This window comes from Homo sapiens, chromosome 4, assembly GCF_000001405.40.
Source record: "Homo sapiens chromosome 4, GRCh38.p14 Primary Assembly".
In the NCBI taxonomy this organism is placed as follows: domain Eukaryota; kingdom Metazoa; phylum Chordata; class Mammalia; order Primates; family Hominidae; genus Homo; species Homo sapiens.
Window position 1 is genome coordinate 186,091,055 of NC_000004.12, and position 14,943 is coordinate 186,105,997.

General features: G+C 49.3%; 1 protein-coding gene across 2 annotated transcripts in view, besides 1 other annotated feature; it reads left to right on the forward strand.

Annotated features, from left to right (window-relative positions):
• Window positions 13,570–13,629: a silencer, noted in NCBI's record as "silent region_15857". NCBI's record gives its function as "represses an Ori minimal core promoter by ATAC-STARR-seq in GM12878 lymphoblastoid cells {active_cell/tissue: GM12878}" and the evidence as "EXISTENCE:reporter gene assay evidence [ECO:0000049][PMID:35858748]".
• Window positions 13,650–14,943, forward strand: part of FAM149A (family with sequence similarity 149 member A) — a 70,634-nt gene continuing 69,340 nt past the window's right edge. For both annotated transcript variants that reach the window (NM_001395294.1, NM_001367768.3), the window contains exon 1: window positions 13,650–14,588. In NM_001395294.1, coding sequence (NP_001382223.1) covers window positions 14,023–14,588 — 566 coding nt within the window. In that variant the 5' untranslated portion in view covers window positions 13,650–14,022. The remainder of the gene's footprint in view (window positions 14,589–14,943) is intronic.

Consider the following 14,943-nt stretch of genomic DNA (forward strand, 5'->3'; position numbering starts at 1 on the left):
TGGACGAGAGAGAAAATCATGCGGAGTTGAAGCTGTCCTTTTGGACTGAGTCGGCTCTTGGGTGGGAGCCACAAGACCAAGTGAGCCCGTTTATGGATCTGCGTGGTGCCAGGAGATCCATCAACTGCAGGGTCTGAAAAATACCTCAAACATCAATGTTAGGTTGTATAACGCTGTGTTATTCATAGGAGCAATTGAGGAGGCTAGCGATCTTGTGGCCTCTGGCCGCGTGATTCCAGAGCCGTCACTTCTAATCTTGTGGCTGACTTGTTAGTTTTACAAAGGCAGTCTGGTCCCCAGGCAAGAAGGGGGTTTATCTTAGGAAAGGGCTACCGTCCTTGTCTAAAGTCAGTTCGGCCTATGCCCAGGAGTGAACAAGGGCAGCCTGGAGGTCAGAAGCAAGATGGAGTCGGTTAGGTCAGGTCTCTCTCACTGTCGTAGCTTTCTCTCTGCTATAATTTTTGCAAAGGTGGTTTCAAGGCTCTGCCTCTAAAATTGAAACAAGAATTAAAATATACAGAGCTCGGCTGGTTTGGGCACTAATGCAAGCTTCCAAAGCTTCAAACATTTTTTTCTTTTTTAAATAAGGTCTCCTTCAAAAATTCTGAGAAATAAATGACTTCATGAAGAGCCAATGTTTTGTGTTTTTTTAAACAAACAAGGATGTTTTCACAGTGTTAATGTCCTCCAGTCAAAGACAACGAACACACCCGCAGTTAAAGAAGTTGGGGTTGCGTCGTTGCAGTGAGGAAGGAAACACACCATGGGGTATCTGAGTAAGAAGGGGGTTGAAAAATCCTATTATATAGGATTTGGGCTTAGGATGGGTAAATTCAGGAAGAGGAGACTAGAACAGGGATAAAGCTGTAAAAGAAACAGCGATCACTGGCCAGATGTGGTGGTTCATGCCTGTAATCCCAGCACTTTGGGAGGCCAAGGTGGGTGGATCACTTGAGGTCAGGAGTTGGAGACCAGCCTGGCCAACATAGTAAAAACCCATCTCTACTAAAAATAAAAAATTAGCCGGGCGTAGTGGCACGTGCCTGTAATCCCAGCTACTCGGGAGGCTGAGGCAGGAGAATCGCTTGAACCTGGGAGGTGGAGGTTGCAGTGAGCCGAGATCACGCCATTGCGCTCCAGCTTGGGCAACAAGAGCAGAAATCCGTCTCAAAAAAAAAAAGAAAGAAAGAAAGAAAAAAAAGAAAAGAAAGAAAGAAACAGCAATCACTGAGCTGAGAGAGGAGTGTTTACGGTATTTTGAGGGTGGCACAGTGACCTTATTTTTGTCTGGACTCAGACAAAATTATGACGTGGTGGTGCTTCGTGTCGCTTTCTAGTACAGAGCAGTCTTGCGGAGGCTGGTATGTGGTGAGTGTGTCTGTGTCCCACGGGAGAGGAGCGCACCAGCCCCGTGGGTGGCCGGCTGCTCCCGCACCCGCCCCGTGGGTGCCCGGCTGCTCCTGCGCATCAAGGCCCGCTCCCTTGTTTTCCTTCCCAACTCCCTTCACGTGGAGATCTTCTTGGCTCCTTGCAGAGATCTCTCTCTCTCTCTCTCTCTTTTTTTTTTTTTTTTTTTATCTGAGTGAGTACTTGGTAGAAAGGGACAGAAGCTCAAAGTTGTTTAGGCAAAAAGGAGGCACGTTTGTGGGACAGCCCAACCCGGAAGGGGAGCTGGAAAGGGGCTCTGACATCACCACGCGGTGTGTGCCTCTCTCTGCATGACGGCGGCATCGGTTTGCACGGTTTGCCCAGGATCTCCGAGGCTGCCATTTCCCATCAACAAGGCACTAGACCTCTTTCCTAGTGTGGTTTCCAAAACCTCAGGACAGGCCTCTGCGTGGTCTAGCTGGGGATAGATGTCCACGTTTGTGGCCATGGGAGTAGGGTGCCGGGGTTGGCAGCACCCACTAGAACCACATGGAGAGAATGGCAGGAGGAATGGCCCCCACAAAACAAGTCAATGCTATTTCCCAAAGAGGGGAGCCAGGCAGCAAAGCAGGGTATGTCCACCCTATGAGCCATGAGGAGCTGGTCTGCTGGACAAGCTGGACTCGTAAAGTCCTATCAGAAACCTCCCTTGTTCTTTCTTCCTCAAAACTCTCTTTTTTTTTCATCCTGCCATTTGGCTGAAGCCTCTGGCTTATTAGAGGGCTTATCAGACACACTTAGATAGCACAAAGCATGGCCCAGCATCCTGGTGCAAAACTCCCGTCCTGTAGTAATAAAGCACAAACCCTTTCCCAGTTGGAGATTTCCTCTTCTCTGTCCGAGGCCCACTGCAGCCTGCTGGACGCCCGCATCCGGGACTGGCGTGGTGTTGACTTCCTTTGGCTCCACACTCCCCCTGCTCTTTCACCTGCTACCTGGGGCTCTGAGCATCTCCAGGATCTGAGGGGTTCAGCACGCAGAAGGAGAGAGATAAAAGACAGAGAAGCCTTTACTTGGTGGGCACAGGTACCATCTGGCCCGGGGCCTTTGGCAGCATAATGCTGAGGTGCTGCCTCTTTCTTTCCTGAATGCTTTTGTCATTTCTTCAGAAATCCAGCTTCTTCCCTTGCAGCAGAACTCACAGGCTCTGGTTAGCCACTCCCAGCACAGGTTCATCCATGCTGCTAGGATGGAATAAAATGAATCCAAAGCTTTCCATTGGCCTGTCCCAATCCAGGTTCCAAATTCTCTCCTGCTATGGCTTCATACATCTAAGGCATTGACTGGTGTTCCTCACTAGTGTTGTAAGATAACATCTCGTGAAAGGGGTCCCTGCCAAAGGGATGTGGGAAAGATGGTATACTACCTTCTCCTCTCAGAAATACTCAATGCGTACCAGCATATTGAAAAACTAAGATGCCGGCTATAAAGAAAGCTATTTAACCTTCATTACTGAGTCAGTTGCCAAACCAACTTGATTATAGAACGCTTCTAGTGGTAACTGTTATCAGCATCGTGACAAAGGCATGTTCTGCATAGCACAATTTTGGGAACACTCTAGGTAAACTTAATTATTCTAGTTCTAGCACCTCCTAAGAAATTCTCCTTTTCATACCTTGCCCACCTTAGATGTCACAGTTTGTTTTTTATTGCCTTCTCCTCCACTTTTGCACCCATTTTTTTTTTTTGAGATAGCATCTTGCTCTGTTGCTCAGGCTGGAGTGCAATGGCATGATCTCGGCTCACTGCAATCTTGACCTCCTGGACTCAAGTGATCCTCCCACCTCAGCCTCCCCAGTAGCCAGGACTACAGGTGTACACCACTACACCCGGCTAATTTTTTTGATTTTTAGTAGAGATGAGTTCTCACTATATTGCCCAGGCTGGTCTTGAACTCCTGGCCTCAAGCGATCTTCCCACCTCAGCCTCCCAAAGTGCTGGGATTACAGGTGTGAGCCACTTAACCCACCCTGCACTCATTTTTTTTAAAGCTTCAGTTAAATGCCATTCCTGCTGGTCAATGGCTTTAGCCAGAATTTTGGCAGCACTTTCTTCCCCTCCTTTTCAAGCCTCAGATGTGGATGCCCCAGATTTTGGATGGGCCAGCGCATGAGGTGGGGAAGCTCAAATACCAGACCAAGGAAGTGAGTTAGTGGAAATGAGGAGCCATAAAGATGCTTTTATGGTGGAAGGAGCATGGGTTGAAGAGCTGGGTTTTAGGAAGAGTGAGATAGTGGGATCGATTAGGAACAGACTGAAGTTCTTGAGATGCCCCTATTTACATAGGACAAGTTCAGATTGAGGCAGAAAAATAGGGTCTGGAGGCAGGGAATATAAGCCCAATTCAGACTTCAGCTGTGACAGGAAATATCCTCTCCACAGAGCCTATGTTGTAAATGACTTTGTAACTTTACTTCAAACTCTCCATTTACATAGGGCATACCCCAAGTAACCAGTGGAATCCTCTAGCGGGTATTTAAACTCCCAAAAATTATGTAACAGGGCCTTTGAGCCCCTATGCTCAGGCCGCTCCCACACTGTGGCGTGTACTTTCTTTCTTTCTTTTTTTTTTGAGACGGAGCTTCACTCTTGTTGCTCAGGCTGGAGTGCAGTGGCGCGATCTCGGCTGACTGCAACCTCTGCCTCCCGGGTTCAAGCGATTCTCTTGCCTCAGCCTCCTTAGTAGCTGGGATTACAGGCGCCTACCACCATGCCCAGCTAATTTTTTGTATTTTTAGTAGAGACGGGGTTTCACTATGTTGGCCAGGCTGGTCTCGAACTCCTGATCTCAGGCGATCCACCCACCTCAGCCTCCCAAAGTGCTGGGATTACAGGCATGAGGCACTGCGCCCGGCTCCGTGCTTTCATTTTCAATAAAACCCTTCATTCCTTCCTTGCTTTGTTTGTGTGTTTTTTCCAATTCTTTGTTCAAGACGCGAAGAACCTGGACACCCTCCACCATTAACATATTGAACTAGTGTGACCTTCAAGACCCTTCGCAGCTGGGTCGAGTTTATCTCCCTGCTTGATTTTGTTTGGTTTTGTTTTACCACATCTCCTATGCTTGGTGCCATCACCCCTGACTGCTCTGTGTCCTCGCCCATCACGGTCGTGGCTCTTTGCTCCTCCCTCTGCAAGCAGCGGCCCCTCCTCTCCTCTCCAGTGGGACAGAGCCAACTCTGTGAGAATCCGTCCTTCATAGCGCTGCCCTTTCCGTCTTGCAGGATGAATCGCTTCATTACTCAGGTGTCCATCATACTTTATCCATGCCCTTAGTCTAAAAGCATACTGTGTTGCAGACACTGTTATAGGATCGGACTCTGTCCTGAGCCCTTGGAATAGGATAGAACTTTGAACACAGAGAGCTCCATCATACTCATCTTGGTATCCCCACTATCTAGAAGGGTGACTGGACCATCGTAATTTGTCAAAGAAGAAGCTGTTGGAAAAGTAAATGTTAGATTGAAGTTGTGGCAGGAGGTAAAGAAAGGGAATAGGCACATGAGATTGTGTGGAAATACACTTTTACCACCAGCAAATTTCATCTCCAGTAGCTCTGTTTCTGAGAATGAAAACAAACAAGAGAAACAGGATGCTCCGGCGTTCCCTCCAGCCTCCTCCAGCTCTGCAATCCCTACTCCAAGAACATGCCAGCACTCCAGGAAGAACGGTGTGGGGTTCTAGGTCCCCACTTAAAACCTTAGTTTATATTCTAAGTTTTTTTTGTGATCTTGTTCTCTTTTTTTTCTTGCTTCATGTGTGACCATTCCCTCATACTTACATAGTGCCTGACACAGAGTAGGAATTCACAAACGTTTGCCAATGGAATAATTAAAGGATTATTGAATGAATACACTCTGAACAACATTGTAGCTCTCTATGACAGCAGGGAGAAATCCTCTCAGTTCTCCAAGTGTGCCTCACCCTTTCAAATTTCTATCCATTTGTGGGGTTCTGTTTTCACTGCTCTGTTCTCTCCTTTCCTTGGCTACATCTTGCAGTTGCAGGGTTAGATCTGGTGTCCACTTCTCCTAGAAGCCTTCCTAAACACACCTTGGGATGACTGTTAGCGAGGCCTTTACCCTGTGCGAAGGGCCTTGGTTAGGAAGGACGTAATCTTGTGAACAGAGTGAGTGCCCGTAAGTGTGCGACCTGGAGATCCACCGTGCCAGTGCAAGGATCTGCACACCTCCTGGGGGGAGGCGGGGCTTTGCCTTGGCCACCATGTGACTTTGAAGGGAGTTCTCAGTTGCGGCCTCTTTTCCAGTCTGCTACTTTGCTGAAAATCGCCCTTCTTCAGAGCAAGGGAGTTTAAAGAGCTGTTCTTCTTCAGGTTGTTTTGGTTTCAAGCAATTTCCACTGGGACGAGCACTGGGTCCAGTGAGCTCGTCCTTCCTCAGAGAAACCCTATTACGTACCCAGTGATGAGAAACAGAAGGCCCCTGCAGACTGCCTCGATCACAGTTCAACCCCACTCCTGGCAGCTTAGTGATTCTGCAGCTTCCTCCCATGTCATCCATCTCTGCTGGCTCATGTGTCATGGTCTGGCCTTAAAGTATGTGGTCCTAATATCAGATCCCAGCTTAGAAGAGAGGGGAGGAAACGGCACTGCCCCTCGCCTCACCCTCCCTCCTTAGGGAGCCCCTGGTGATTTCTGAGCAAAATTGTAGAGTGTATAAACTGGGAGGGTGTATTGAAGGGATGGCTCAGGACTGTGGTTAGAAAATTGACCTTCTTTTTAATCTTGGCACAGTGGATTTTGAGTATTGTACTTTCAAATAACTTCCAGGAGGTGTCATAAGGTGTGCTCCAAACTTTAAGGAGAGTCTCCCCAGTTCCATGCTCTGTTGTTCATCTTCCTCCTCTCCCTCTTCTCTCTCTTTTTATCTACCTTCAATCTCCTTTCCCTCCACTTCTGCTCTCCCTGAATTGTGCCCCAGTCTAGAGACATGCTTAGCAGGAGAACACAAACTCTGGGGGAATGGATATGTCTAAAGTCTGTGTGCATCGCTGTTCTTCTTGTGTTTTATGAGCCTCTTACCAAAGCACTCTATGATATAACATTGGCATGTCATCCAGAAATACAAAGGCTGGCTTTGAGAAGGTCTCTCGCCGTCTCTTGAATGATAGCATTTGAAATGGTGAAGGAAGTGCTCCGTGCATGCATTCCATTAACAGAGCATAGAGGTGCTGTAAATCGGTAGCTGCCCTTTTAGTCTAATAACAATGGACAGTCAGACTCTTCACTGGAGCTCCCAACTACAGCAGACACTGCCAGTCACCTGCCCAACAGACACCCACACCTCGCACCCTTTCTTGGTTTAGGGGTGCTAATTTTGTTCGGGGGCAACATATTCGGGGAAAGGGATCCCTTCTAGCCCTAGAAAAATAGCATTATTTCTCTCTCTCTTCCTCTTTCTTTTCTTTCCTTTATTGTTATTATTATTATTATTTTTAGACAGGGTGTCACTCTGTTACCCAGGCTGGAAGAGTGCAGTGACATGATCTCAGCTCACTGCAGCCTCCACCTCTTGGGCTTAAGTGATCCTCCTACCTCAGCCTCTGGAAGAGCTGGGAAGACAGGCGTAAGCCACCATGCCCAGCTAATTTTTTTATATTTGGGCTGGACTTGAACTCCCGGGCTCGACCCATCTGTCAGCCTCGGCCTCCCAAAGTGCTGGGATTAAGGCGGGAGCCACCCTGCTCCGTCTATTTCTCTTTCTGATGGTTAGTTCAGCTGTGGACTTTTGACCTGGTTATAGCCAATGGGACTCAATTGGAGGGGCTTCTGGAAAGCAGTTTGTTCTTTAATGAGAGAGGGTGACCTGAGCCGCCTTCTTACCTGGGATGTAGCTATTTATTTATTTATTTTTGAGACAGAGTCTCGCTCTGTCACCCAGGTGTGCAATGGTGAGATCTCGGCTCACTGCACCCTCCGCTTCCCGAGTTCAAGCGATTCTCTTGCCTCAGCCTCCCGAGTAGCTGGGATTACAGGCATGTGCCACCATGCCCGGCTAATTTTTGTATTTTTAGTAGAGATGGGGTTTCACCATGTTGTCTAGGCTGGTCTCAAACTCCTGACCTCGTGATCCGCCCACCTTGGCCTCCCAAAGTGCTGGGATTACAGGGGTGAGCCACCGCGCCCTGCCAGATATAGCTATTTAAAGAAAGATGGCTGGTGCTGAGGGTGACACCTTGGAAACACCAGGAAACAAGCCATACACCCTGACAATGTGTGACTGAAAGAGAATGAGCTTGAGTGTCTCTGACGTGGGTAATTCACCGCAGCAATCCCAGAAGCAGTGAATTGTGGGCTTCCTACCCTGTGAGCTACTTAAGCATCTTGAATGCTCAAGCTAAGGCCAGCGAGGGATTTCCCTGTTCTCTGCAGCTGAATGTGCCTCACCTGCCTCCGTGGTCTGGTCCTCCGCCTGCATCTGCTATAGTACTCGGGGAACGGGGTCATGGTCCATCAGGAATCGCTGTGATGTAACACTGCCTTTGATCACTTTAAAATTGTTCTTATTGTTATTTTATTTTATTTTTTGAGACAGTTTCCCTCCTGTCCCCCAGGCTGGAGTGCAATGGCATGATCTCGGCTGACTGCAACCTCCGCCTCCCAGGTTCAGGCTTCTCCTGCCTCAGCCTCCCAAGTAGCTGGGATTCCAGGTGTCTGCCACCACATCCAGCCTAAAACTGTTCTTATTGTTATTTTAATAGTTTTCCCTCAGTAGAATCCTGAGCCCGCAATCAAATAGCAAGAAAATTTGCCCGAGGCTTTTTTTTTTAATTATTATACTTTAAGTTTTAGGGTACGTGTGCACAACGTGCAGGTTAGTTACATATGTATACATGTGCCATGTTGGTGTGCTGCACCCATTAACTTGTTATTTAACATTAGGTATATATCCTAATGCTATCCCTCCCCCCTCCACCACCCCACAACAGTCCCCGGTGTGTGATGTTCCCCTTCCTGTGTCCATGTGTTCTCATTGTTCAATTCCCACCTATGAGTGAGAACATGCAGTGTTTGGTTTTCTGTCCTTGCGATAGTTTGCTGAGAATGATGGTTTCCAGCTTCATCCATGTCCCTACAAAGGACATGAACTGAGGCTTTCATTTATTGTGTTTATCACTGAAAACAAATACATATTTGTTGCAAACAAATTTTGTTCACATTATACAAAAAGGAATAAACTTGGAAGCAAATGTAGCTATAATTTCCTTCTAGATATTTTTCTCTAGTTATTCAATGTAACCTGGGGTCATATATAACAAAAACTAACATCTACTGAGAATTTGCCAAGTGCTGTGCTCTGTTCCAGTACTTCACATGTGTTAGTTAATGTAACTCTTACAAGGCACCATTCAGATAATTACAGCCGAGGAAACTATAGAACAGAGAGAAGTCTTGGTGTTGTTTAGTGGCAAAGACAGACCATGAGCCTACATAGTTCAGACCCACAGTCCATTAGTCTGCAATGCCTCCCTCTAGTGCTTAGTAAATGCTTGTTGAATCAACAAATGTTTCTCATTGTTCAGAAGTTTGACATTTTTATAATAAAAATTGACAGTATTTTCTTTGTAAAATACCGATGTCATGCTAATTGAGGCGATTTAACTTCTTAAACAGATTAATCAGGTTGTTTTAACTTTCAGGTTTCCAAAACACATCTTTTCATAGCAACATGGTCATAATTTCCTAATGCTTTCTCCATGATGTAGCCAAGTGTTATTATACACATCAGAAAGACAGTTAATGAAATTGTTAATCAATGTAAGCAGAATAATTTTATCACATAAAGCACTACTCTGACATTTCTTTTCTTTTTGAGATGGAGTTTCACTCTTGTTGCCTAGGTTGGAGTGCAATGGCGTGATCTCCGCTCACTGCAACCTCCGCCTCCCAGGTTCAAGCAATTCTCTGGCCTCAGCCTCCCAAGTAGCTGGGATTACTGGCATGTGCCACCACGCCCTGCTAATTTTGTATTTTTAGTAGAGACAGGGTTTCTACATGTTGGTCAGGCTGGTCTTCAACTCCCAACCTCAGGCAATCCGCCCGCCTCGGCCTCCCGAAGTGCTGAGATTACAGGCATGAGCCATCACGCCTGGCCTTACCCTACATTTCTAATTGTCTATATAAAATCATTAGAAAGAAAGATTAACTATTTACTGTATTTACTTTCATTGCCTGATCCTGCTTGAGCCAGACCACATCACCTGAGGCCCATGTTCTAAGAATGACATGCTGCTGGTAATTAACAGAGAAGCCTGGCCGCATCTACAAAAGGCTGTTGATGGATGAACAATGGGTACAAAGGACTGGACAAGTTGCTAAGAATGGCTTATCACGTTTGCAATTATGGGTCATTTTCAAAGGAAGGCCCTCCAAAGAAAAGGACCCACTATTCTTTCAGTGTGCCTTCTTCATGGGGCTGGCTGGTCAGAATGCTACACCTACTACCGTAACCAAGGATGATACTTCTTCCCCACCACCACCATCTCCTTTTTATGATTCTTGCATTCTCCCTATAGATTTAAAACAATTACGATGACCATTTCAATTTGTAGCCAGTTTTTTAGAGTGAATTTACCCACTAAAGACTTTCATAGAGGTACAAGCAAGATACTATGATCTTGAAGTACCCCAAAATTAATTAATACCCCAATCATGGATCTTTCCTAGGATTGCCATAACAAAGTGCTGGGTGGCTTAAAACAACAGAATTTTTTTTTTTCTCACAGTTCTGGAAATGGGAAGTCCTCACTGAGGTGTTTGTGGGGCCCTGTAGGGGAGGAGTCATCCCTGCCTCTTCTTAGCGTCTGGTAGTGGCCATCAGCCTGGAGCACCCTTCGGCTTGCAGCTGCTTCACTCCAGCCTCTGCCTCTGTCATCCTGTGGTGCTCCCCCTGTGTGTCTGTGCCCACATCTCCCTCTTCTTAAGAGTATACGCATCGTACTGGACAAGGACCCATCCTACTGACCTCAGCTTAACTTGATTACATCTGTGAAGATCCTATTTCCAAATAAGATCACATTCACAAGAACTGGGGGTGGGACTTCAACACATCTTCTGGGGGCACACAACTCAAATGTGCCCACAGCTGGGACACATGCAGACACACCTTAGAGACAGAATGCTTTCAAGGCCAGGATCTGGAAGGGTATGCAGCTGTTCTCTAGCTTTATTTATTATTATTATTATTATTATTATTATTATTATTATTATTATTATTTGAGACGGAGTTTCGCTCTTCTTGCCCAGGCTGGAGTGCAATGGCACGATCTTGACTCACCGCAACATCCGCTTCCTGGGTCCAAGCGATTCCCCTGCCTCAGCCTCCCAAGTAGCTGGGATTACAGGGACCCGGCACCACACCCAGCTAATTTTTGTATTTGTAGTAGAGATGGGGTTTCTCCATGTTGGTCAGGCGGGTCTTGACCTCCCGACTTCAAGTGATCTGCCTGCCTCAGCCTCCCAAAGTGCTTGTCCATAGAAGAGAAGTGGTTATTGAGGGAAACATGGAAAGATCTAGAACCAGAGAGCCCAAGACAGCGGCATGAATGCACCACTGTTCAGGAACAGTTGCTCCTGAAGGAGAAGGGTGCTGGACTCTAATGGTTAATGCCCCCTGTATGTGAACCATATGATTCCTTCCCTTTGCTTTGATTCCACACTCACCTAACAACCATTGGAATTAATTTGGTCCTAAAGGGATTCCTCTTATGGGGAAAGAGCAGAGGATGGAACACTGCATCAGTGCTTTTTTTTTTTTTTTTTTTTTGAGACGGAGTCTCGCATTGTCACCCAGGCTGGAGTGCAGTGGCGAGATCTTGGCTCACTGCAAGCTCCACCTCCCAGGTTCACGCCATTCTCCTGCCTCAGCCTCCCGAGTAGCTGGGACTACAGGCGCCCACCACCACACCCGGCTAATTTTTTGTATTTTTAGTAGAGACAGGGTTTCACCGTGTTAGCCAGGATAGTCTCGATCTCCTGACCTCCTCCGCCCGCTCGGCCTCCCAAAGTGCTGGGATTACAGGCGTGAGCCACCGCACCCGGCCGCATCAGTGCTTTGTGAGTCAGATTAGTGGGGCTCCACACAGAGACACTGGTCAGCTGTGAAGGTGCTGGGCCCATCAGATTTCTGAGTCTGAAATATCAGGAATCCTGAGTTCTGGCAGCAAACAAGTGCTACCCCCAAGGATCTAGGTGAGCTGACTCGAACTTTGCTCCACAATGGCCCTCCCTTGCTGTTATTTCAAGTTCCATATGTTCAGATTCAATGGAGCGACTAGCCCCTTACTCACTGAAAGCACATACTCTAGAAATAACTTCTATTTGCATTGAAAGTGACCTGATATATTAAGGATTTAATTACTCCATGAATCAGAATAAGATCCTTGTAAGATGAACAAAATCTGTGGGAAACTGCTTTGCAGTCCTGAATGAGTGCTACATGAAAACAGTCCAGTGTTCGGAGGGAACGTCCAGACTTCTGAGGCTACCTGGTGAGTGCTGCAGAAGGGGAACAAGGGAGCACGAGAAAAGTTCATGGTTCAACAGCAGCCTGTTCCTGGTGTCTCTGCGTTGTGACGGAGTTGGCACTGCTTCCCTGGTTTGCCCCCAACCCTCTCCCTCTTGTTACCATTGCTGCTCTCAGAGGTGTCTGTTCTTAATTCCCTTTTTCTCTCATTTTGATTCTTCGCTGTGTGCTGGTGCTTCACACGCTGACGACTGCGTGCTCTCGCCTCTCCGAACATCCAAGGGCCTTTAAAATCTCACCCTAGTCACCCATGTCTCTTACTTCCCTTAGGCACACAAATGCTCTGCTGTCCCCAAGCGAATGTTGACCACGATGGCTGCCATCACCTGTGCTTGTCTTCCAGGGCACTCACGGGACACTCAGCATATGACGTGAAGCAGATTATTCCATGCTCTGGGAAGAGAACCGCTCTTTCTTTGCATGTCTGTGCTTAATGCAATCTTGAAGCAGACAAGTGCCCAGTACATGTTGGTGGCAGTTAGATGTAGAAAAGGGATCATGACAGAAGACTTGTTAACTGCCTCCAAATAACGCAAAACTTAGCATTACCTGGAAGTTTACCGTGGCTCAGACTCCAGTTTGATAACTTACAAAAGATTCAAGTATATAAGCATGAATGTCAGTTTATTCACTGCCAGACTTAATTCATCTCTTTTCCCTACCCCACATCAGGAAATGTATCTCCTGAGATCCTCTCCTGAATATTAATGGACAAACTCCATCAATATCTCATTACTATTTTTTTGACACAGGGTCTCACTCTACTGCCCAGGCTGGAATGCAGTGGTGCGATCACGGCTCACTCCAGGCCCAAGCGATCACCTCAGCCTCCCGAGTACCTGGGACTACAGGCATGCGCCACCAGGCCCGGCATTTTTTTTTTTTTTAAATATTTGTAGAGATGGGGTCTCCCTATGTTGTTGCCCAGGCTGGCCTGGAACTCCTGGGCTCAAGCCATCCTCCCACCTCCCAATCCCGGTGCTGGGATTACAGGTATGAGCCACCGAGCCTGGCTGCAGTATCTTATTTTTTAACTCTGTTCAACACTGACCCCACACCCCTTTAGATGCTCGCACCTATACGCTCTACCTTTCACACATATTTTTCAGATTAAGCAAAATACAATTTATTCCACTGAATAGAAAACGTTGCCTTCCATATCTGTCTTTGAATTTGTAGTCGTTCCGATTATAATTTGAGTTCTCAAACATTTGAATTACACAGTCTCTTGGTTCACTCCGACAGGTGTTTAAACAGGTGTGCGTAGGTCTTTCTACTTCAGCTCTCAGAGCCGGTCTTGTTTGCAGGTTAGTGGGTGGCGCACCTCGCGGTTGCTCCCACCCCACCCTTAGTAACAGGGTTTGAGTAGGACCCTGGGGTGGGGGAGTGGATGCTGCTGTTTCAAGCTCGTTCGCCCAAATACATCTTTCTACCCACCTTCCCTATCGTCAGAGAGGTGGCCTGACCCCAGCACGTGCAAGCTTGTCAGGCTGGGTAAGTTCCAGAACCTTCTGGAGCCAGGATTCTCTTTCCCAGCCCTGGGCCCTGAGCTCGGCGGATGGGATCTGCGAGGCTCGGGGCGCAGGGGAAATGGGGGCGTGTTCCTTTAAGGCGGAACCAGGCGGGGAGTGGGACGTCCCCCGCGGGCACAGCCCGAGCCGCACCTGGGGCCCAATTAGCCTGGAGCGCGGCCGGGTGTGTTGAACGTAGCAACCGCGGGCGGCGGGCGGCGGGCGGCGGGCGTCTGGGGCGGGCGGCGGCCGCGCTTCCCGGGGCTCCTGGCCCTTCGGCCCTCGGGGGTCTCACGGCGCTGGGACGAGGCGGGGCTGCTCTCCGCAGCCGGGGCGCTCGGCGGACGGACCCGGGCCGGGGAAGGGCGACCCCAGCGGCGCGGAGCTGAGCGTCCTCGGGGAGGAGAGGGAGCCAGGGGCCTCCGGGGCTCCGGGTGCGGGGACCTCAGGCTCCTCGCCCCGGCCCGGGCCGCCTCGGCCGGATCTCCGCGGTCTGAACTCTCGGGCGGCGGCGAGGACGGCGTGTCCACTGTCGAGGCATGAAGGCTGCTGTGCTGGACCTTGGGTCTCTCTTGGCCAAACTCTTCGAGACCTCGACGGCGCCCCCCGCAGGCCCCTCCTCCAGACCCTCGGGAGGTGCTGCCGCTGCAGGGTCGGGGGGCTCCAGGGCGGGCACCCCGTTGGGTACCGCCCCGACCCTCCTCCGCGCCCTGGCTCCGGACTCCCCCTCCGCCTCGCGGCGGTCGCCCGCCCCGCTGCTCTCCTCCCCCTACTCCCGGGGCTCCGCCGCCAGCCGCGCCGCGGGAGCAGTGGGGACCCTGCTCTCTTGGCCCAGTAGCCCTAGAGCGGGTAAAGCCCCGCCCCAGCCCCCCACTCCCTCCGGCGGGGGCTGCTCCCCTGCTCGCCTGGTGGTCCCAGCGCGGCCGCCCTCGGGCCCCGGCGGGGTCTGGGCCGCGCTCCCCAGGAACCCGCTCCAGCCTGGCCCCGGAGAGCGAGAGCTCGGCGCCTGCGTGGCCCCCGGGGCTGGCCCCAGAACCCTGTTCCTTACGCTGCCTGACATCGGCGAGGAGGGGGCCTCGGACGGCGACTCCGGGGATGGCGAAGCGTGAGTAGCAGCGTGGTCCGGGCGCGTGTACCTTTTGCCGGGACCCCCGACCCCTCCGCCTGCCGCACTCACCTTCGCAGGTGCACTTCAGGAAATGAAATATTTGTAGTAACTTTCATAACCCCCTGGGCACCCTCCTTGCACGTTTCCTGGGTTTTTACTCCTTGGCTTTGCGGGCTTTCAGACATAAGCTGTGACATGCTTTGTCCAGCTTTCTCAGAGTGAATCCTAAGGGGCCTTGAAGGAAGGGACAGAATTTTGTTTCTCTTCTACCAGAAGCATTGCTACTTAGAGTGTTTGTTTGGTTTTCTTAAGGACTTTTTGAAGTCCCTTTCTTTGTCTCAGAATATAGCAG